Source organism: Homo sapiens, chromosome 20, assembly GCF_000001405.40.
Source record: "Homo sapiens chromosome 20, GRCh38.p14 Primary Assembly".
Taxonomy (NCBI): domain Eukaryota; kingdom Metazoa; phylum Chordata; class Mammalia; order Primates; family Hominidae; genus Homo; species Homo sapiens.
Genome location: NC_000020.11, coordinates 62,338,409 through 62,359,684, shown reverse-complemented (window position 1 = coordinate 62,359,684; position 21,276 = coordinate 62,338,409). Strand labels below are relative to the sequence as shown.

At 57.0% G+C, this 21,276-nt stretch overlaps 1 protein-coding gene and 2 long non-coding RNA genes across 12 annotated transcripts in view, besides 3 other annotated features; 1 reads left to right on the top strand and 2 right to left on the bottom strand.

The window, feature by feature from the left end:
* Window positions 1-21,276, top strand: part of LAMA5 (laminin subunit alpha 5) — a 58,248-nt gene that overhangs the window by 7,628 nt on the left and 29,344 nt on the right. For all 8 annotated transcript variants that reach the window (XM_047440149.1, XM_011528819.3, XM_047440148.1 and 5 more), the window contains exons 3-12: window positions 6,434-6,551; window positions 7,325-7,443; window positions 7,606-7,776; window positions 7,884-7,981; window positions 12,657-12,772; window positions 12,885-13,003; window positions 13,089-13,179; window positions 13,470-13,604; window positions 13,808-13,867; window positions 21,077-21,217. In XM_047440149.1, coding sequence (XP_047296105.1) covers window positions 6,434-6,551; window positions 7,325-7,443; window positions 7,606-7,776; window positions 7,884-7,981; window positions 12,657-12,772; window positions 12,885-13,003; window positions 13,089-13,179; window positions 13,470-13,604; window positions 13,808-13,867; window positions 21,077-21,217 — 1,168 coding nt within the window. The remainder of the gene's footprint in view (window positions 1-6,433; window positions 6,552-7,324; window positions 7,444-7,605; window positions 7,777-7,883; window positions 7,982-12,656; window positions 12,773-12,884; window positions 13,004-13,088; window positions 13,180-13,469; window positions 13,605-13,807; window positions 13,868-21,076; window positions 21,218-21,276) is intronic.
* Window positions 3,082-4,020: an enhancer, noted in NCBI's record as "H3K27ac-H3K4me1 hESC enhancer chr20:60930721-60931659 (GRCh37/hg19 assembly coordinates)". NCBI's record gives its function as "activates a minimal SCP1, AML or CMV promoter by ChIP-STARR-seq in primed H9 embryonic stem cells {active_cell/tissue: H9 hESC(primed)}" and the evidence as "EXISTENCE:reporter gene assay evidence [ECO:0000049][PMID:30033119]".
* On the bottom strand, window positions 3,205-6,675 carry LAMA5-AS1 (LAMA5 antisense RNA 1). 3 transcript variants are annotated; one of them, NR_109922.1, is made up of 3 exons: window positions 6,350-6,675; window positions 4,205-4,417; window positions 3,205-3,493 (listed from the first exon to the last, which is right to left on the bottom strand). It is a non-coding gene; the product is annotated as an LAMA5 antisense RNA 1 (long non-coding RNA). The 3 variants fall into 3 exon arrangements; NR_109924.1 differs by having other exon boundaries at window positions 6,477-6,675; NR_109923.1 differs by lacking the exon at window positions 4,205-4,417 and having other exon boundaries at window positions 6,477-6,675.
* Window positions 4,021-4,961: an enhancer, noted in NCBI's record as "H3K27ac-H3K4me1 hESC enhancer chr20:60929780-60930720 (GRCh37/hg19 assembly coordinates)". NCBI's record gives its function as "activates a minimal SCP1, AML or CMV promoter by ChIP-STARR-seq in primed H9 embryonic stem cells {active_cell/tissue: H9 hESC(primed)}" and the evidence as "EXISTENCE:reporter gene assay evidence [ECO:0000049][PMID:30033119]".
* Window positions 11,382-19,711, bottom strand: LOC124904946 (uncharacterized). The gene is made up of 2 exons (XR_007067699.1): window positions 19,564-19,711; window positions 11,382-13,937 (listed from the first exon to the last, which is right to left on the bottom strand). It is a non-coding gene; the product is annotated as an uncharacterized LOC124904946 (long non-coding RNA).
* Window positions 19,522-19,651: an enhancer, noted in NCBI's record as "active region_18197". NCBI's record gives its function as "activates an Ori minimal core promoter by ATAC-STARR-seq in GM12878 lymphoblastoid cells {active_cell/tissue: GM12878}" and the evidence as "EXISTENCE:reporter gene assay evidence [ECO:0000049][PMID:35858748]".

Here is a 21,276-nt window from a genome sequence, read left to right as displayed (position 1 = left end):
CCTCAGGAAGAGGCTCCAGCGCTGGTCACTGGTGACTCAGGGGGCAGTTTCCGAGTTCCAGACGTGACCTTCCCCAGGGGGTCCTTCTAGGGGGTTCTTGCGTATCTCCTTGCATCCTCCGGAAGCTTCTGGAACTGAGCGGCCACATCACTGGCCTCAGGCTCCTTCTTCCGAGAACCACACCCAGGCCCCAGGCCCCAGGCCCCAGGCCCAGGGAAGGGTGAGCGCGTTCATGACTGCCCAGGCACATGGCCAGCGGGTCCTGGCTTGAGCTCCCCCACCCCCTGGCTCTGCCGCAGGGTCCAGGCCCTTGCCCCACTACACCAGCACGCTAGCCCAGCGGGCCCAGGTTGTAAGGAGCTGGGCAGGGTGAGTGGGGCTGGCTCTGGCCTGTGTCCCCTCCCTCTCCAGTCGGCCCCTGGGTGGCCTGACCGTGGGGGCGGGGCTCTCCCCAGCAGAGGAGGGCATTGCCTCCCGCCTCCCTCAGATGAGGAGTGAGGACGCACGGGCCCCCTTCCGGTAGGGAGGCCCCTGCTTTGTTCTCTGTAGAGCAGGCCACGCTGCAGGTGCTACAGGTGGGGTAGCGGCTTTGTCCCAGTCCCCGAGGCCCAGAGCTGCAGGGCAAATGGGGAGGCCCAGGTGGGGGTCAAGGTGTGGGGGAACTGGGGCTGGCAGGGTATAAGGGGGCAGTTAGGCATGAGGCTAGAAGTATTGGTTGGGGGCGAGCAGTGCCAGGTGAGGGCCTGTGCCCCTGGGGATGGTGGAGACCCATGGGAGGGCAGAGTGGACAGGTAGGGCCGGAGAGGGGAGGCAGTCAGCTGTCCCCTCCAAGTGGGGGTACAAGGAGGCAAAGCTCTGCTGAAGTCATTGGCCACTGGAGTGTGAGTTTCCCTAGGCACTTGGGGAAACTGAGGTGGGGTTATGAGAGGGTCAGGGCCAGTGTGGAGTGCCCAAGGTCCCAGTGCTGGGGTCTGGAGGACTGTGGGGTTGGCCATGCTGTCTGCAGTCTGGGTTCCCGGGCTGGTTCCTCCTCTGTAAATGGGAGGAGCACCGCAGGAGGAGGACCTGCCGGAGGCCCAGCGCGCCCAGGCTGCCTCACCCTTCAGGACTGCCTGCTCTCTGGCTGGCCGGCTTGGGCCCTGGGCAGGCCTACTGGTCCAGGGTGCCACTGGCTTGGCTCCCTGGGCCTGGTTGGGCACTCAGCCATGTGGCCAGTGCCCCAGGACGGTCAGTGGGTTGTCCAGGGAAGGACAGGAAGTGCAGCTGCGGCCAGGCTCTAGTTACAGAGCTCGGCGGCCGGGACAGGTGCACGGGCTGAACCAGACGCAGCCACTTGAGCAGGGCTCCCTGGGGGGTACGGCGGGGGTCCTGGGAGGCACCACTCCCCTCCCCTGGCACAGGATAGACGGCAAAACCCTCCCTCTACGTGTCCTGGAAGGAGGACACGGCCCAAGGGGCTGCCATGCCAAGGTGGGGATGGGGCCGCTCCTCTCCCCGCACCCCCGCGCCATGCTTGCCCTTGGTGGCTGCACGGCCAGACCTGGCACTCAGGGCACAGAGATGCCCCAGCACCCACCTAGACCCCCCAGGCCCTGGTGGTCCCCAAAGGCTTCCTGTTTTCTGTCTGTTTCTAAACAAGAGCCACCACATTGGCCTCTGACAACACAGCTCAGTGAAGACGAAACTGTTTGGGTTTCAGGCCGAGGGGTCCCCTTGGGATAATCTCCACTTCCTGTGTCCCCGGCTGACCATCTGGCCTGACCTGGGCTGGGCTGCAGGGAGGGAGCCTGGAGCTTGGGCTGCAGTGGTTGGGGTCCCTGAATCCACCCCAGGCCCAGCTCTGTTGAGGTGCGGGCAGCCCCCTGGCTGGGAACCCATCCTCTCCCTCCAGCTGGGGAGCTCCTGTCCCCCCGCCCACTCCTGGAAGTTTTCCTGTCCTGCTTAGGACATCTGTAGTTGGGCATGGCGGCGTCCAACCCCAGAGTTGGGGGTTCTGGCCTCAGAGTTGTTATTTTTCTTCCCAGCGGTGGGCTTGCTGTGGAAACCCCCGGCTTTTCCACTCCACGTCCCTCTGGGAGAGGTGTCTGTGTGGGGCACGTTTCCGGACCCCTGATAGGTTGTGTGGCCGCCGTGCTTATTCACCCAGCTGGGGGCCAGTGGAGATGCTCCCGGCTGCCGCCCCGCCCCTGCTGTGGGGCTTATCTACGTTTCCAGATGGGGTCTCTTCGAGGGGAGGCACACAGCAGGAGCGGGCAAGGGCTGGGCTGGCCCAGGACTCTGGGCATCGAGGGGGCTGGGTGCCCCGGTGCCCTGTCCGAGCAGTGCGATCAGGGTGCTGGCCCGGACGCCTGGGGCTAGGAGGGGCTTTTCCTGCCCCGGGAATTGGCACAACGCCCTTCTTCCTGCAGGGCGGGGGCTGAGTCACAGACCGCTGTGATCCAGGCTGCCGGGGAAGGCTGACTGGCCCTCACCCAGCACAGCGGGCACCTGGACCTGGCCCTGGTCTCCCCAACCCAAGATGGGTCAGGGCAGAGCTGGGTTTGGGCACAGGACAGCACCGCCTCCCCTCCTCTGGAGGTTCCAGCCACAGCCCACCCCATGGTGAGGTGGGTGCCTCAGCCCAGGAGGCTGCTAGCCAACAACCCCACGCCATCCCCAGGGTCCCCGAAAGCCCCACCAGAGTTTCTCTGTAGTCCTCACCGTGCTGCCCAGACCCTAGCACCTACTCAGTCCCCTCCGCAGCTTTGCCTTCGGAGCGCCAGTGAGTGGGGCAGCTCCAGTGGGGGCCTCTCAGCGTCTCTGCGGGGTGGCTGCTGCCCTCCAGGAGCAGCTGGCGTCCTCCCTCCCAGGGCGCTCAAACCTTCATGCCCTCATGAAAGGCATTTTATCCTGATGCCCCTCTCTGCAGCTCTTCCCACTGCCCTGTGCCCAGGAAGGGGAAGTGTCCGCTCCAGGGCCGCACAACCCCTGAAGCCTGGAGCCGGCCTGGGCCCTGGGTCCTGGGCCCCGTACTCCTGGGGCTCTTGCCCACCCCCTGTGAGGCAGTGGTCACCGGGCAGAGGCCTCCTCTGGGAACCGTGGCCCTCCCAGGGCAAGCTGGGTAGTGGGGACTGGAGGGTGCAGTGGCTGAGAGGCGGGTCCGGCTGCCGTCCTGGAGACGTGCCTGCCCCAAAATAGCCGATTTTTAAAAATAACTCAGGCAGCTTTTGTTTGGCTTTTGCTTTAAAAGACTTTTTTTTTTCTTTCTGCACAGAACCATGTAGCAGCGGAAAGGTCAGCACTGGCAGCTGAGCTGAGCGGGGCGTGGAGGGGGAAGGGCGGTCCCGAAGCCAGGGGTCTGCGCTCGCTCCGGGTCATGGCGAGGGCGGCCGGTGTGGCCCTGGGAGCCGCGACCAGGTCAGAGACAGATGGGAGTCCTCCAGCGCGGGCTTCCCTTCCTGTGACCATCTGTGCAGCCACCAGGCCCTCGAGGACAGCTGTCCAGGGCCCCTGTCTGACAGACAGATGGTTGGGATGGGGGACAGACAGGAGGCCAGGATCTTCCTGTGCATCCCAGGGGTGGGGAGGGCGAAGTGTCTGTGTCCCCCTCATCCTGCTGATCAGTGTCTTCAAGTCAATATTTGTGCAAGTGCTCTCAGCTGGGAAAAATGTGACTGGCCTGCTGAAGGGGAGGGAGGAGGACAGATCGGGCCGAGGAGAGCGCAGCCTCCATCCAGGCACTCAGGGAACAGCGGGGGCGGCTCCCAGGGGGCTCAGTCGGGACCTTTAGTCTCCTTCGGAGCCTTTGGTGGGAGGGGCTGTGTTGCCAGCTCCCCGAGAACAGCCTGTGTCCCTGCCCCTGTCCACCTCTAGCGGGTCCTTCCCTGTCCAGGCACAGGGGCCACTGGCCCCCACCTGGGGCTCTCTGGAATGCTTGTGGTCAGGCCCACAGGGGGCTGCTGAGGCCCGGGTGTGGGGCTGGGTATAGGGTCTGTCCCTGAAGAGGCTCATACCCCTCCCTGCTGGGCAGGGCATGTCTCCCTGCCCCCCACCCACAGGGAGGTAGACGATGACCTCAGAGCCTGGCAGCCGGTGAATAGGCCTGTGCCCCGCCCCAACCCCGGAAGGCTGCGCTTGGCTCCCACAGTCCCCGCAACGCCAAGCCCTCCGAGAAGGGTGGGATTTGGACCTGGGATGTCTGGAGTCCTGGAACCTTGCCCCCTACCTGGAGTCTGGGCAGCTGGTGCCCCCAAGGGCTGAAGCTATGAGGGGTCTGTGGTCTTTTCATGGGGGACCCCACAGCAGTCTCAGTCCGGCTCAGTCCAGTGGGGTGACTGTAGGTCTTGTGCAGCTCTGGGGGACCCCACTCTCCCCCTTGGGGCCCTAGGCTTCCAGGCCTACCTGGCCAACAGCACCCAGCTGTTCCCGGGCGTACCTGCTGTGGGGAGAAACTCTCCGGAGGAGTGGGCACTGGCGGGTCAGGGTCCCGAGGAGGTGTGGTGGGTGGCCCTGGGGTGTGGCATGACCCTCGGAGGCCTGCTGGCCTTTTTAGGGCCCACCTGGGTGCCCACCTGTGAGCAGAGGAGGGGCTGGTCCCCACTGCCGCCCACAAAGAGTTGGGCTGAGTACTGAGGTCTCCCAAGGTCTCCATCGTGGACCCTGTGGGCCCGTCAGGGGAGGTGTGGGCCGGGACAGGCAGGCCACACCTGTGCTGTGGGTCCATGAGTTGCCTCTCTCCCCCGGCACCCGGGCCTCCTCGCACAGGCGGGGGAGAGGTTCGTGTTTCCTCCGCCTCCCTGCCAGGTCCCTGTGGAGCCTCTGCCTGGGAGAGCCCTTTCCCCTTTGTTTGAGAGGGGCTGGGGAGGGGCTCACCCTCCCTTGGAGCCTCCAGGCTTGTGACAGGGCCTGGAGACAACTTCCCTCCTTTGCCCCCAGGTAGGGGGAGCCTAGGGCTCCCCTCAGAGGCTATGGCGGGTGGGAGCACTTGGCTGCAGCAGGGGCTGAGCCCTGGCTTGCATGAGTGTGAAGGCGGGGTGCTGCTTGGGCACCGCCCCCTCCTGTGTGCCTCGGGACCCCCCCTGCTCCTGGGTGCAGCCTCTTGCCATTGAGGCCATGGGCTGTTTTTAGGGACCAGAGACCTTTTCAGAGGGGGCCTGTGGCCTGGGTCCATGGAGGAGCCACCCCCACGGTGTTTCACTGTTGGGCGGGTGTGTGTGCACCCCCAGGTGCAGGCATGGAGGCCCACGGTCATGTCGGGTGGGTGCAGATATGAGGCTGGGTAGCACTGACTGCTGGGGGCAGGAGAGGCTCAGGCCTGGAGTCCTGAGGGCAGGGTGTCAGGGGATGGGTAGGGAGGGAGGGAGGGAGGGAGGGAGGGAAGCCCAGGCTGATCAGAGGCCTGAGGGGAGTCAGCAGGCCTGGCCTGTGCGGAGAGAAGGGCCTGGGCCTGGGGAGATGTCCGCAGCTGAGGGTTAGGGGGAGGGGCTGCAGTCAGGGAAGGCTTCTCTGAGGAGGTGTACAAAGCGTCCTGTGAAGACTGAGCCAGGCTGTCCCCCAGCCCCGAGGCACAGACACATGGGCTGTCCCTGGGTGGAGGTCAGGCTGACACACGGGGAGAAAGTAGGCAGAGCCAAGGTGGGGCTGGGGCAGGGGCTTGGGGTTTCGGAGGCCTGGGAAGGAGCAGCTTTCCTCTGCCCTGGGCAGGGCTGCCCTGACGTGCACCGGGCCACAGCAGTGCTACTGCCCCAGTGCCTGGGCTGGTGGAGTCTCCGAGGCAGACTCAGCTTCAAGAGGGCCCCCAGCCTGCAAGGCTGAGCCCCGCTTGCTCCCTGCAGCCCAGTCCCTGGGGGCTCAGTGGGCCCCTGGCTGTGGGCTGGTCAGCATGGGACTGAGCAGAGCCTGGGGAGGGGTGCCCGGTGTGAGGTGGGGGCAGGGGCCCCATCTTAGGAGCTGCTGACCTGTCAGAGGGACTAGGGGGTTGGACCTTTGGACCTGCCTGGTGGCAGGGACCACTGTCTGGCCACCAGGCCTGGCTGGACGTGAGGGCTGTGGGGACACTGGGGTGTGTTCCTGCCTCCACCCTGGCCAGTCCCTGCCTGGGCCGCAGGTAGGCCTCTCCCTAGCTTGCTCCATCTGCAGCCACAGAGCTTGCAGGACCATGGGGGAACCCCAAACTCCTGCGGCAGGGAAGGGGAGGAGGCAGCGCGTTGGTCCCGAGCCCAGGCGGGGAGCCCTTCCAGGAGGGCTGGTTCCCGGGGGCTCATCTCCATCCCTGGGGAGCCCTCTCCCCTGGGTTCGTCTGCCCCACACAGGCAAACCCAGAGGTGCCCCCTGTGCGGCGAGGGTGCCACATCCCCTGCTGTGGCCTCACCTGAGGGGCAGAAAATGAGCCAGGCCCCTGGGAGCATGGGAATCCAGGCGCCCCTGGCTCCCCTGACGCCCTCTCGGCCCACAGGTCTTCCACGTGGCCTACGTCCTCATCAAGTTTGCCAACTCACCCCGGCCGGACCTCTGGGTGCTGGAGCGGTCCATGGACTTCGGCCGCACCTACCAGCCCTGGCAGTTCTTTGCCTGTGAGTCTCTGCCGCCGTGGGGCCTGGGGGGAGAGGCAGGGGGGTCCCTGGGCAGGCCCTCCGTGACCAGGCTTCTGAAGGTCTCCGAATACCCAGCCCTGCCCTCACACCCGGCTGCTGCGGTCATGACTGTCAGACGAGGACCCGAAGGCTCATGGGGATTTATTGGCTCCTGTCCCTGGCGTCGGGCACAGCCAAGTCCAGGGGCTGTGGCGCCAGGAATCTCTGGTGCCATCTCTTGGCTGCCTCTGGATGGCTTCATGCACCGGCAGCTCCCGTGGTGACAAAAGGGGCCTGGCAGCTCCCACCTCACCTCCTGCCAGCCTAGCCACCTGCGTCAAGAGTACTGGAGTCCTAGCCCGGATGCTGGCCGTCCCTGGCCCCGTGCCACCCTGACCAGTCATGCTGGTGGGAGTGGGTGCTCCTCCCCAATAGGGCAGGCCTGGTCACGTGTCCCCCAAAATTCCCTGGCCTGAGAATGGGGGAGGGGCGGGTCAGTGATGGGCAGTAGGCGTCTGTCCCCAAGGAAGGGGGTGAGGATGGTCGTCGAGGGGGGTCACTCGCACTCAAAGCGTGCAAGGGAGAGCGGTGGGGGGCAGTGCAGTCCAACGGGCCAGGCCCCTTCAGCCAGTGAGCTGTGGTCTCTGTCACGCGGCCTCTTGGCCTGTGGGAGCCTCAGTGGCAAGGCCCGGAGACGTCAAGGGGCCCGGGCACCGCGGGGACCCAGGCTTTTCTGGTGATCCAGCGCCCTCCCCTCCCGCCATTCCCCGCAGCCTCCAAGAGGGACTGTCTGGAGCGGTTCGGGCCACAGACGCTGGAGCGCATCACACGGGACGACGCGGCCATCTGCACCACCGAGTACTCACGCATCGTGCCCCTGGAGAACGGAGAGGTGGGCCGGGGAGGGGCAGGGCGGTACGGGGGCTGGAGAACGGAGAGGTGGGTAGGGGAGGGGCAGTGCCGAGCGGGGCTGGAGAAGGGAAAGGTGGGCCCGGGAGGGGCAGTGCTGAGCAGGGGCTAGGGCCACACTGGCGTCACCGCATACTGCCCACAGATCGTGGTGTCCCTGGTGAACGGACGTCCGGGCGCCATGAATTTCTCCTACTCGCCGCTGCTACGTGAGTTCACCAAGGCCACCAACGTCCGCCTGCGCTTCCTGCGTACCAACACGCTGCTGGGCCATCTCATGGGGAAGGCGCTGCGGGACCCCACGGTCACCCGCCGGGTGAGCTGCCCATGGCGCAGGCGGGGGAGGGGGACTGGCCGGGTGGACCCGGGACTCAGGGTGAGTGAGGCCTGGCCGCCTGGTGCTCACGGGGCCTGCGGGTGCAGTATTATTACAGCATCAAGGATATCAGCATCGGAGGCCGCTGTGTCTGCCACGGCCACGCGGATGCCTGCGATGCCAAAGACCCCACGGACCCGTTCAGGTGAGGCCCCATTCAGGTGAGGCCCCGTTCAGGTGAGGCCCCCCCCAGCTCCCTGCCTGTCCTTGTCACCCCTGCCTAACCTGAGGGTGGGTGACCTGGTTCCATGGCCCACCACAACCCTGCTGTCTGTGTGACCTGCACTGACCACCGCCGTGTGTGCCTCAGTTTCCTCATCTGTGCAGTGATGTGGAGGCCAGGGCATGTGCAGCCTCCCCAGGGTGCCCTATCTTGGTTTGGGGGGCCTTGCCCTACTGCCAGCAGAGGTGGGGCTCTCCGGACCCCCAGGCCAGCTGGCCTTCCCACCATAGTGGACACCTGGGGCCCTGTGGAGGGGAGTCAGCAATGGGGATGATTGATCCCCGACTCCAAGACTGCATCCCCCGGAATGGACAGGTGCCCACTACCTGCCGAGGCAGCCCTAATTCACTTTGGGGGTGCCCGCCCAGCTCCCCCAACCTTTCAGGACACAACAGACAACTTCCCTGCTGCCCCAGCCCTGACCTTCACTCCAGTCAAGCAGGGACCAAGGCCCAGGACGGGGATGGCAGGGTGGGGGCAGCCAACACCCCACATCTGCTGTGCCCTGTGTGCCTGCTTTCGGGGGCAGCCGAGGGCACTGCAGAGCATCCACCTCCCGGGAGCCCCTCACAGGATGGGCAGCAGCCCTGGTGCTGGCACCGGCACATTCCTGGGCCTCACCCAGAGTCCTCAGTAAGGTAGGGCCGGGCTCATTCTGCGGAGAAGCAACCCCAGGGCACGTCCGTCCTTTCCTCCCTCCCTTCGTTGGTTCTTTCAGCCAGCAGCTGTATGTTGAGCGCCTAACACACGCTGGGCCGTTTTCCTGGGAATGGGAACACAGGGTGGGACCCCAGCCCGGCCTCAGGAGCACCTGTTCCGGGGGAGGCAGCTGGGAAACACGCAAACCAGTACTCAGCGTGGTGCCCGGAGGGTGTAACACCCTAGGGTGGCAGTGCAGGCATGGGGCTGGACAGAAGCCACTCAGAGTGGTGCAGCTGAGGCTGAGTGTGTGACGAGGCTCCTGGACCCCCAGCAGGGAGCTGGCAGGGCTCATCTAGTGCCTGCAACCGAGCAGCCCAACTTTCATGCGCTTGGATTTGGGACCCGCCCTTGCCTTCTGTGGGGCCTTACTGCTCTGTCCACGCTCCAGTTTACAGGGGAGGTGGGGAGGCGGGTGGAGCTCAGACAGGACAAAGGTTCACTCCCATTCTCACGGCCAGTGCCGAGCAGAGGCGGGAGCCCTGGGCCCCTTCGGATGTGGCTGGTGGGTCTGAGGGGAGGAGTGGCACAGTCACCTGAGCCGGAGGACTTGGGCTGTTTGCCAGGAGCTGTGGGCCCTGGGGACCCACCCAGGCACTTGTTGCTGCCAGCACAGCTTCAGGTGCTGAGCTCCAGCAGAGCTAACTTGTCCTGGGAAATTAAGTGCCAAGTGGGGACGCAGCTCGTGACAGCAGGGAGTGGAACCCACCAGGCAGCCAAATGGGCCTCCAAGGAGAGGAAGGGCGCGGGAGCCGGGGCTTGCCTTGGCCTGCAGGGAAGACATTGCCATCCCCTGACTCACCGCACCTGGGTGTGGACTGAGCTCAGCTCTCCCTGCAGGTGCAAGCAGGGGTGACTGGGAATCTTTCATGGAACCACAGCCTCTGTTACCAGGACCTGGTCACCCACCAGTGTCCCAAAACATTAGCCTGCCCATGTTCTCCCTGCACCCTTTACCCGCCACCCCACCTCTCCTCCAGGGAAGGGGGCTCCATGTCATCAGCCAGCAATTTTCTGCCTCTTTACCTCCACCATCACCTTACTCCCACCCAAACCATCACCCCCACTACCAGCCCACTCCCACCATCATCACCCCCACCATCACCGTCATCACCCCCACCATCACCGTCATCACCCCCACCATCACCGTCATCACCCCCACTCCCACCGTCATCACCCCCACCCATCACCACCCCCACCATCACCATCACCATCACCATCACCATCACCATCACCATCATCACCCCCATCACCCCCACCATCCCCATCCCCATCCCCATCCCCTGGGTTGCTGCTTCCTCCTTCCTGAAATGCACCCTGTAGTTTTTCTATTCCATGACAGTCTATCCGGAATTGTCTGAAAACGGCTGTTTTGTCCTCCCTCTTGAATGATAGTTGAGCTGACTGTAGGATTCGTGGTTGATAGCTGCATCTCTCAGCACTTTGGAGAAATGATTTGACTGTCTCTTCACCTCTCCAGGTGCTTGGGAGAGTCCATTGTCCTTGCAGTTGCTGATCCTCTGTGGGTCATCTTCTTCTCCAGGACTTTTTATGGTCTTTTTGCCATTGGTGTTCTGCAGATTTATTGTGATGTGTTGAGGATTGGGATTTTTTTCTTGCTCAGGACTCACGCTTTTTTTTTTTTTTTTTTTTTTTGAGATGGAGTCTCACTCTGTTGCCCAGACTGGCGTGCAGTGGCACGATCTCGGCTCACTGCAAGCTCCGCCTCCCGGGTTCATGCCATTCTCCCACCTCAGCCTCCTGAGTAGCTGGGACTACAGGCACCCACCACCACGCCTGGCTATTTTTTTTTGTATTTTTAGTAGAAACGGGGTTTCACCATGTTAGCCAAGATGGTCTCGATCTCCTGACCTCGTGATCCACCTGCCTCGGCCTCCCAAAGTGCTGGGATTACAGGTGTGAGCCACTGCGCCTGGCCATGTGTTCATTATTAATTCAAGACCATCCTTGGCCATTCTTTCTGACTGTTGGCTCCCTTTCCTACCTCTTTTCCCCTGGAGTCCCCATTAGATACAGGAGCACCTTCTGGTTTCCTTCTCATAATTTCTATTTCCTCTCTCTTTATCTTCTGAGGTGTCTTCTGGATAGCTTCCTTTGCTCCTCTTCCACTTCACTAAATCTCTCTTCCACTGTGTCTGTCTGCTGTTTAGCCCATCCATTGAGTCTTTAATTTTATAGTTTCATTTTTCATTTCTAGAAGTTCTGATTGGTTCTTTTTCACATCTGCCTGTTTTCCATAGTGTTATTTTTTTTATTATTATGTTTTAGATTTCTTTTTTATTTTATTTTATTCTTTTTTGAGACAGAGTATCACACTCTTGCCCAGGCTGGAGTGCAGTGGTGCAATCTCGGCTCACTGCAAGCTCCACCTCCCAGGTTCGTGCCATTCTCCTGCCTCATCCTCCTGAGTAGCTGGGACTACAGGCACCTGCCACCACACCCGGCTAATTTTTTGTATTTTTCTTTAGTAGAGATGGGGTTTCACCTTGTTAGCCAGATGGTCTCGATCTCCTGACCTCGTGATCCACCCGCCTTGGCTTCCCAAAGTGCTGGGATTACAGGCGTGAGCCACTGCGCCCGGCCTATGTTTTAGATTTCTTTATGACCATTTTTAACATTCTTCCCTGGCTTCTACTAGATTACTCCATTTTGTGAGGTTCTTGGGGCTCTTTCTGCTGACCTGCCACATTGTTTCTCTGCAAGGTCTTTAGCAGGGTTTATCTTTGTGCTTCTGGCGTGCCCTGGGATTGGGATGGTTTTGGGAGAGCTTTTGCTATACACCCCAGGGTATCGCCAGCCCGGCACCACTTTTCCTATCAATTTCTTGACTATGTGGATTTTTGAAAAATGGAACACCAGTTCAGGCCCTTGCTTATAGGTACTTGGGGCTGGTGTGACGACAGAGCAGCTTCTTTGTTGATCACCTGTGCTGACGGGCAGTTTATTTCCCAATTCCTCTCATTGAGGGTATGGCCCTCCCAGATGTTTCTGGATTCTGAGGGAAAGCAGTATTGATTCCCGAGGCCCTGTGAGGTGGGCCCCGTGGAGGACAGGACTAGAGCTGGACCATTTGAGGCTCTGGGTCTAATCCTCATGGACTGGACTGACTTCTGGGGTCCTGCTCAGGGAACGCACGGCCCTGCAGCCTCCGGCAGAGCCTGATCTGGGGCAGGGACTCCCGCTGTGGTCTGGCTAATACTGAGCAGTAGGTGCTTCCAACCTCAGGCCTTGTCTCTCTCCAGCTGTCACCCTGCCCACGGGACGTAAGGCAAGATTCCAGCCCTGTGACTTAGTGTCCACCCCAGCTGGAAGAAGGAAGCAGTTCTTGGCCACTTGGCCCTAGGGAGGTGACCAGGATGCCTAGGAGTCCTGCCTGCTAAGCGAAATCTGAGCCTTGGGGGGTGCAAATGGACCCCTTTCCCTTCTGGCTCAGGGAGGTTTTGGGCTTACGCTCGAGTCCTGGCCGAAGTGGAAAGGGCATAACTCAGTTTTGGAGAACGCAGGTCTCCATCCTGACCTGCAGGCAAGGGGGACTCTACTGACCCCTGAGGTGCCCTGTCCTAGGCCCCACCCGGTCAGTGCACACCTGCTCCCCAGTCCCGCCTCCACAAAGGCCCTGTGAGACCCTGTCCTCCACCGCCTCTTTCCTTGTGTCCATTCCCTGAGCCTGGGGAAGTTGCGTCAGAGCCACAGGCTCGGGGACGCTGAGTCTGGGCGAGCGCTTGCTGCCGGACAGCTGGAGAAACAGCAGCGGGGGGCCGTGTCCATGTGGCAAGCCAAGCCATCGAGGGGATCACAGGCCCCTTCAGGGAAGGGACTGAGCACCTGCCACCTGCCTCCAGGATGGGCCTGATCCCCCCTCCTGTGTACCCCACAGGCTGCAGTGCACCTGCCAGCACAACACCTGCGGGGGCACCTGCGACCGCTGCTGCCCCGGCTTCAATCAGCAGCCGTGGAAGCCTGCGACTGCCAACAGTGCCAACGAGTGCCAGTGTGAGTGCCTCCTCCCACACACGTGTGTCCTGCCCACACCCTGGCCCATGAGAGGGCCCCGGTGCCCGGGCCTGTGGAGGGCGTGCCAACAGCTGCGCTCCCCTCTCTCTAGCCTGTAACTGCTACGGCCATGCCACCGACTGTTACTACGACCCTGAGGTGGACCGGCGCCGCGCCAGCCAGAGCCTGGATGGCACCTATCAGGGTGGGGGTGTCTGTATCGACTGCCAGGTGGGCTGGGCTAGAGGGCTGGGAATGGGCTGGCCCTGAGGTGGGGCAGGGACCTCCCCAGACTCAACGGCCATTGCACTCCCAGCACCACACCACCGGCGTCAACTGTGAGCGCTGCCTGCCCGGCTTCTACCGCTCTCCCAACCACCCTCTCGACTCGCCCCACGTCTGCCGCCGTGAGTGGGCTCAGCTGGGCGGGTGTCCTGGGTCTCAGGGTCTGCCTGGAAAGAGGTGTTCTTGGGCCTTTGGGGCTGCTTTGGAGGGGATGTCCTGAGCTTCCAGGCCAGCCCAGGAAGGAGCCTCCCAGGCCACGGGGCGGGTCCCCAGCCCTCATGTCCCCCCAGGGGGCCTGGCTGTAGCCCTCATCCCCATGGCCCTGGCTGGGGAGGTAGAGACTGCCACATCTTGGAGCCCACCCCTTGAGTCCTGGTAGCTCCAGGCTTACCCGGCTCCTGCCCCTGCCCAGGCTGCAACTGCGAGTCCGACTTCACGGATGGCACCTGCGAGGACCTGACGGGTCGATGCTACTGCCGGCCCAACTTCTCTGGGGAGCGGTGTGACGTGTGTGCCGAGGGCTTCACGGGCTTCCCAAGCTGCTACCGTGAGCACCTGCCAGGGGCATCCAAACAGACACCACTGCCTGCTGGACTCCGGGAGCCCTGCAGGGGGTGGAGGGGTTCCCCGGGATGGACCATGTTATCCTGCCTGCATCTCCGATTGTGCTGAGAGACCAAGGGTGGCAGGGGGTGTAGGGTGCTAGGGTTCTGAGCAGACCTGGCCAACATGCGTGTCTCTTCCCCTCAGCGACGCCCTCGTCCTCCAATGACACCAGGGAGCAGGTGCTGCCAGCCGGCCAGATTGTGAGTAAGTGTCCTTGAGGCCCCCAGGTCCCCGGCCTGCCCTGGAGCCATGGGGGCGGCTTCACAGAAAGTTCCTGGAGAAAGGGAGGATTTTCATTTGGTCACTTTATTTTTGGCTTATTTCTTTTTATGCAAATTATGCCTATTCACACTGGAAAACCTTCGGAAATATAGGTCAGCATAAAGCCAAAGAAAAAAGTTAGCCCAGGCAACATGGTAAAACCCTGTCTCTACAGCAAATACAAAAATTAGCTGGGTGTAGTGATGTGTGCCTGTAGTTCGAGCTACTCCGGAGGCTGAGGTGGAAGGATTGCTTGAGCCTGGAAGGCCGAAGCTGCAGTGAGCCATGATCACACCACAGCACTCCAGCCTGGGCAACAGAGTGAGACCTTGTTTCAAAAAAGAAAACTGGGCATGGCACATGTATACATATGTAACTAACCTGCACAATGTGCACATGTACCCTAAAACTTAAAGTATAATAAAAAAAAAATAGAAAAAAAAAAAAAAAAGAAAATTGGTTGGGCACAGTGGCTCACGCCTGTAATCCCAGCACTTCAGGAGGCCAAGGCAGGTGGATCACCTGAGGTCAGGAGTTCAAGGCCAGCCTGGCTAACATGGTGAAACCCCGTCTCTACTAGCTGGGCATGGTGGCGGGCACCTGTAATCCCAGCTACTCAGGAGGCTGAGGCAGGAAAATCGCTTGAACCCGGGAGGCGGAGCTTGCTGTGAGCCGAGATTGCACCACTGCACCCCCGCCTGGGCAACAGAGCGAAACTCCATCTCAAAAAGAAAAACAAAAACAAAAAGTTATCCACAATTCCCCCAGCTCTGCACAGCGCTTGAATGCTCTCTGTACACAAGCACTTCTCTTTCACAAGCTTCGTCATGCGCTCTGCACCCTGTCCTGTGATTACATCCCAACCACAATCCTGTAAACACATTGTCTTGTGGTCCATTTCATAGGGACTAATGAAGTATTTATTTAAACAACCCCCAGTGGTTGGAAATCTAGGTTCTTTTTTTTTTTAATTATGCTGTGATAAAGCATTATTAAGATGAGGTAGAAAACTGGCCGGGCACAGTGGCTCACACCTGTAATCCCAGCACTTTGGGAGGCTGAGGCAGGTGGATTACCTGAGGTCAGGAGTTAGACACCAGCCTGGCCAACATGGTGAAACCCCATTTCTACTAAAAATACAAAAATTAGCCAGGCGTGGTGGTGCGTGCCTGTAATCCCAGCTACTTGGGGGGCTGAGGCAGGAGAATCATTTGAACCTGGTTGCAGTGAGCTGAGAACCACCATCACACTCCAGCCTAGGTGACAGAGCGAGACTCCATCTCAAAAAATAAATTTAAAAAAAAAGAGTCTCCCAGCATACAGTCACAGCCACAGAGCAGCATGGCACCTGCTGACCAAATCATTGCCATTACCACATAGCAGTCTATCACTCTTGGCTTGATAGACAAAAAATATTCTCAAGTCAGAGCCATGTTCCCTTGCTTTTTAGTGTTTCTGGAATTGGGATGCGTCTTTTGCTTGATGGCATATCACAGTCTAGTTGGTAGGGTTTTTCCCTTTCATGACGGGACATACAAGCATGGCATCTTTCCCAGTGAGTGGGGTCTTAGACTTAGATTGTATTTGATATGACGTCTTTTTTTTTTTTTTTTTTTGAGATGGAGTTTCGCTCTTTTTACCCAGGCTGGAATGTGATGGTGTGATCTTGGCTCGCTACCACTTGTGCCTCCCAGGTTCAAACGATTCTTCTGCTTCAGTCTACCGAGTAGCTGGGGTTACAGGCATCCGCCACTAAGCCCAGCTAATTTTGTATTTTTAGTAGAGACAGAGTTTCTCCATGTTGGTCAGGCTGGTCTCGAACTCCCAACCTCAGGTAATCCGCCTGCCTTGGCATCCTAAAGTGCTGGGATTACAGGCATGAACCACCATGCCTGGCACGATATTGTGTCATTTTTAGCTGCACTTTGACTACTCTGTAAGCTTGAATCTTCTTGACTTTTCGAGTGCTTTCTTTTTTTTTTTTTTGATGGAGTTTCACTCTAGTTGCCCAGGCTGGAGTGCAATGCTGCAATCTCAGCTCACTGCAACCTCTGCCCCCCGAGTTCAAGTGATTCTCCTGCCTCAGCTTACCATGTAGCTGGGATTACAGGCATGCGCCACCATGCCTGGCTAATTTTTGTATTTTTAGTGGAGACGGGGTTTCTCCATGTTGGTCAGGCTGGTCTCGAACTCCTGACCTCAAGGGATCTGCCCGCCTCAGCCTCCCAAAGTTCCGGGATTACAGGCGTAAGCCTCTGCGCCCAGCCTGTATCACCTATTTCTTATAAGTTGTGTGTTTTTCTCCTGATGGGTCATTTGCCCCTTATTTTGGGGGGGAGCTTTTTTCCGTGTCCTGATTTTGTAAATTTTGAGGTGAATCTGCCCACGTTGTTCTACCGAATCTCTGGCTGAGTCGGATGTAGATGCTCCTCCCTTACCCAGGAATTCTCTTGTCTGCTGGTTCTGTGATGGTTTTTTTATGTGGAAATGTTTAGTTTTTCATCAATAGTGTAAACCAGGGGTCAACAAACTGTCGGAAAAGGCCCAGACGGTAAATGTCATAGACTGAGGGCCGTGTGGTCCCTGTGGGGAAACTCCTCAGCTCTACCGTTACCAGCTGTAGCTTGCAAGCAGCCATAGAACGCGTATTCATGAGTGGGGTTGGCGGCGTTCCAATAAAACTTTATTTACAAAAGCAAGCGAGGAGTCCATAGACTAGTTTGCTAATCCCTGGTGTAAACTGACAATTTATCTTTTCGCTACTGGGCCATAGTAAGCACTCAGTAATTACCTGTGGCTGTACAGTATTCACTTTCAATGTGTTCATTACAATGAATTGTATTGTCTTTCCTAATGGGGACACAGTGTTGAACATCAATATTTTATTTTGTCTAAATTCACAAGTGAGATTGTTTTGGTTTTGTAAAATACTTGGGAAATCATCCACACTTTTTTATGCTCCCAATCAGTTTAAAAATCACAGAAATTATTTACTTGTTAAAAGTCTGGTCAAACTTACAAAACCCTTTAGTCCTGATACCTGTTTTTCTTTTCTTTTTTTTTTGTTTTTTTGTTTTTGTTTGAGACGGAGTCTCGCTCTGTCGCCCAGACTGGAGTGCAGTGGCACGATCTCGGCTCACTGCAAGCTCTGCCTTCCAGGTTCACGCCATTCTCCTGCCTCAGCCTCCTGAGTAGCTGGGACTACAGGTGCCCGCCACCACGCCCGGCTAATTTTTTTGTACTTTTAGTAGAGATGGGGTTTCACCGTGTTAAAGCAGGATGGTCTCGATCTCCTGACCTCATGATCCACCCGTCTTGGCCTCCCAAAGTGCTGGGATTACAGGTGTGAGCCACTGAGCCTGGTCTCTGATACCTGTTTTTCAACAGAGATCTTAAATTAAGGTTTTAATGTATTCTGTGGCTATTGTATTCAATTTTCTACCTCATCTTTTTTTTTTGAGATGGAGTTTCACTCTGTCGTCCAGGCTGGAGTGCAGTTGCACGATCTCGGCTCACTTCAACCTCTGCCTCCTGGGTTCAAGCGATTCTCCTGCCTCAGTCTCCCGAGTAGCTGGGATTACAGGCACCTGCCACCACGCCTGGCCAATTTTTTGTATTTTTAGTAGAGACGGGGTTTCACCATGTTGGCCAGGCTGGTCTTGAACTCTGACCACAAGTGATCCACCTGCCTCGGCCTCCCAAAGTGCTGGTATTACAGGCATGAGCCACCACGCCTGGCCAGTTTTCTTCCTCATCTTAAGTCAGGTTTGATTATTTGTATTAGCAAATTGTGTATTTTGTTTGGATTTTTTAATGTATTGACATAAAGTTATGCACAGTGGCCTGTTATAAAGTTAAAATTTCTGTTCATTTCTATTCTCGTCTATTTTTATTTTTATTTTCTTTCTTCTTCTTTTTTTTTTTTTTTTTTTTTGGTTGATCAGACCTAACAGAGGTTCGTTGAGTTTATTGGTCTGTTCGAAGTACAGGTGCAGTTCTCTTGATAAGACCTGCTGAGGTTTTTCTTTCTTTAGTTGGGAGGAGAGATTTTCCTTTCTAATATTCAATTTCTTTAATCCACTTTCTTTGATTTATCACTTTTTTAAAATAGCTTCTTGAGTTATTATTTTTAGTCTGTCTTCATTCCCAACAAAAAGGCTTAAAGCAGTGGTTCTCAGCCAGTGGTGACTTTGATGCACAGGAAGCATTCGATGATGTCTGGAGACATTTTTGGTTGTGACGATTGATGGATGTAACTGATCCAGTGGGTAGAGGCTAGGGATGCTGGGAACCTCCTACAACACAGGACTGCTCCTGCACACATAACAAAGAGTTATCCAGCCTGGACTGTCAGTAGTCCTGAGGCTGGGAAACTCTAGTTTAAAGCTATAAATTTTCCTCAGAGTATACCTTTGGCTAGGTATCTTGTAGTTTGAGATGTGGGGTGTCCTCATTGCTGTGTTTTTTTTAAATAGTCTATCATTTGGGGTTTTATTTTCTTTCAACCCGTCACTGTTCAAGGTGCTGAGGTTTCCCTCCTGTCCTTTTCGTGGTGTGCAGTTCTGGTTTTGCTGCATCGTGGTTAGACTTGGCACACTGATAGTTTCTGCCTTTTGTCTTTGGAATTTGAGATTTTCTTTGTTTCTAACCTAGAATGTGACGACTTTTATTTTTTAATTTTATTTATTTATTTATTTATTTATTTATTTATTTATTTATTTTGACACAGAGTCTCACTCTGTCACCCAGGCTGGCGTCCAGTTGCACGATCTCGGCTCACTGCAACCACCACCTCCTAGGTTCAAGCGATTCTCCTGCCTCAGCCTCCCGAGTAGCTGGGACTGATTATAGGCGCCCACCACCATACTTGGGTAATTTTTGTATTTTTAGTAGAGATGGGGTTTTACCATGTTGGCCAGGCTGATCTCGAACTCCTGACCTCAGTTGATCCACCCACCTCAGCCTCCTAAAGTGCTAGGATTACAGGCATGAGCCACTGCGCCTGGCAGTTTCTGCCTTTTGTTTTTGGAATTTGAGATTTTCTTTGTTTCTAATCCAGAATGTGACCACTTTTAGATTGTTCCAGGAACATTGGACAGGAATGTGTGTTCTCTATGGAGTACCGATTTGGCATGTTAAAGCAGACTTGTGGCCAGGTGCGATGGCTCACGCCTGTAATCCCAGCACTTTGGGAGGCTGAGGTGGGCAGGTCACCTGAGGTCGGGAGTTCGAGACGAGCCTGACCAACATGGAGAAACCCCGTCTCTACTAAAAATACAAAATAAGCTGTGCATGGTGGCGCATGCCTGTAATCCCAGCTACTCGGGAGGCTGAGGCGGGAGAATGGCTCGAACCCGGGAGGTAGGGTTTGCAGTGAGCTGAGATGGCGCCACTGCACTCCAGCCTGGGCAACAAGAACGAAACTCCATTTCAAAAAAAAAAAAAAAAAAAAAAACAAAGGAGGCTTGTTCATTATGCTCTTCAAACCCACAGTACCCTTGCTCAATTTCTGTCCCTCTGAGCTGTCACAGTCTACCTATGTATCTCCATCCAGTCTTTGTCTCTCTCTGACTCTGGTTTGCCAAATTCTCCTTGCCATTTTAATAGTTTTAGCTTCCCTCACCTCCAGGACACGTTACCTGCTCCTAGAGATTCGTTTCTGCTGCCCGTTGGGTGACATGCCTGAGCTTCCCTCTGTCTCGTTACCGCTGTGCCTTCCGTCCTCACTCCTCTGTGTTTGCGTCCACCCCAGCTCCCTGCACACAGCTCTCGGTTTACCACCTGTCTGAGGCGTTGGTTTAAGGTACGCTCTTTCAAGAGGCTATGGCTGGAGTTTCCTCTTGGTCACGCTGACGTCTTCGGTTTTTATCTCATGAAGGAGACAGCGCAGCCCCACGATCGTCCTTGCCTCTGTCAGTTCTGGCTGGCTCCTGCCCTTGTATCATTTCTCCTTTTCTGCTGAAACATTTCCTTTCCTGACTTTCACAAGTTAGAGCAAGAAAACGTGCTTTGATTTTGGTTTTTGCTACTGTTTCCTCTCTGGGGAGGGTTTGCAAGCTCTCTTTCTGTGTTCTGGTCTGACCAGTGGTTACTCTTACATTTTTGACAAGTATTGAACCTTTATTTTTCTATCAGTAACAAAACTGAAGCGTGCTCACAACCCTCCTTTCATGCGTAAGTTAAGACATTTGATACATTCTTTCTACCTTCTTCCCAACACCTGACATTGTTTCTAAAGAAACTATAATTTTAATCCCAGCACTTTGGGAGGCCGAGGCAGGCGGATCACGTGGTCAGGAGATGGAGACCGTCCTGGCTAACATAGTGAAACCCCGTCTCTACTAAAAATACAAAAATTAGCCGGGCGTGGCAGCGTGCACCTGTAGTCCCAGCTGCTGGGGAGGCTGAGGCAGGAGAATGGTGTGAACCCGGGAGGCAGAGCTTGCAGTGAGCCCAGATCGTGCCACTGCACTCTAGCCTGGGCGACAGATCAAGACTCCGTCTCAAAAAAAAAAAAAAAAAAAAAAAAGAAACTATAATTTGTTTTGCAGCTTGTTTTGAGTTTTGATTTGTTTGTATTTTCTCTTTGTGTTAATGCTTGCAGCTAACTAGGAATCTACGTAAGAAATAACTAATGAAGCGTTTTGATAGTTGGCCTGACTTTGTTGCACATCACTGTTTTCCCAAACACGCCTCTCCCTTGTTGGAATTTTTTTTTTTTTTTGAGACGGAGTCTCACCCTGTCGCCCAGGCTGGAGTGCAGTGGTGCGATCTCGGCTCATTGCAACCTCCGCCTCCCAGGATCAAGCGATTCTCCTGCCCCAGCCTCCCAAGTAGCTGGGATTACAGGGGTGCACCACTACGCCCAGCTAATTTTTGTATTTTTAGTACAGACAGGGCTTCACTATGTTGGTCAGGCTGGTCTCGAACTCTTGACCTCATGATCTGCCCGCCTCGGCCTCCCAAAGTGCTGGGATTACAGGCGTGAGCCACTGCACCCAGCCCTTGCTGGGATTTTTATTATTTTATTTTCTAGTTAGTGTTGTGTAAAAGTGTAAGAAAATGAGTTTGTGGAGAGGGAAGGTTTGCCAGGAGGGGCGTACTGGGGTCTGCAGGGCATCTGAGACTCCCCTGCCTGTCCCCACCCTCCAGATTGTGACTGCAGCGCGGCAGGGACCCAGGGCAACGCCTGCCGGAAGGACCCAAGGGTGGGACGCTGTCTGTGCAAACCCAACTTCCAAGGCACCCATTGTGAGCTCTGCGCGCCAGGGTTCTACGGCCCCGGCTGCCAGCGTGAGTCCCCTCTCCCCGCTCAACCTCTACCTGCGCTCGAGGTGGACACCTGAGGCCTG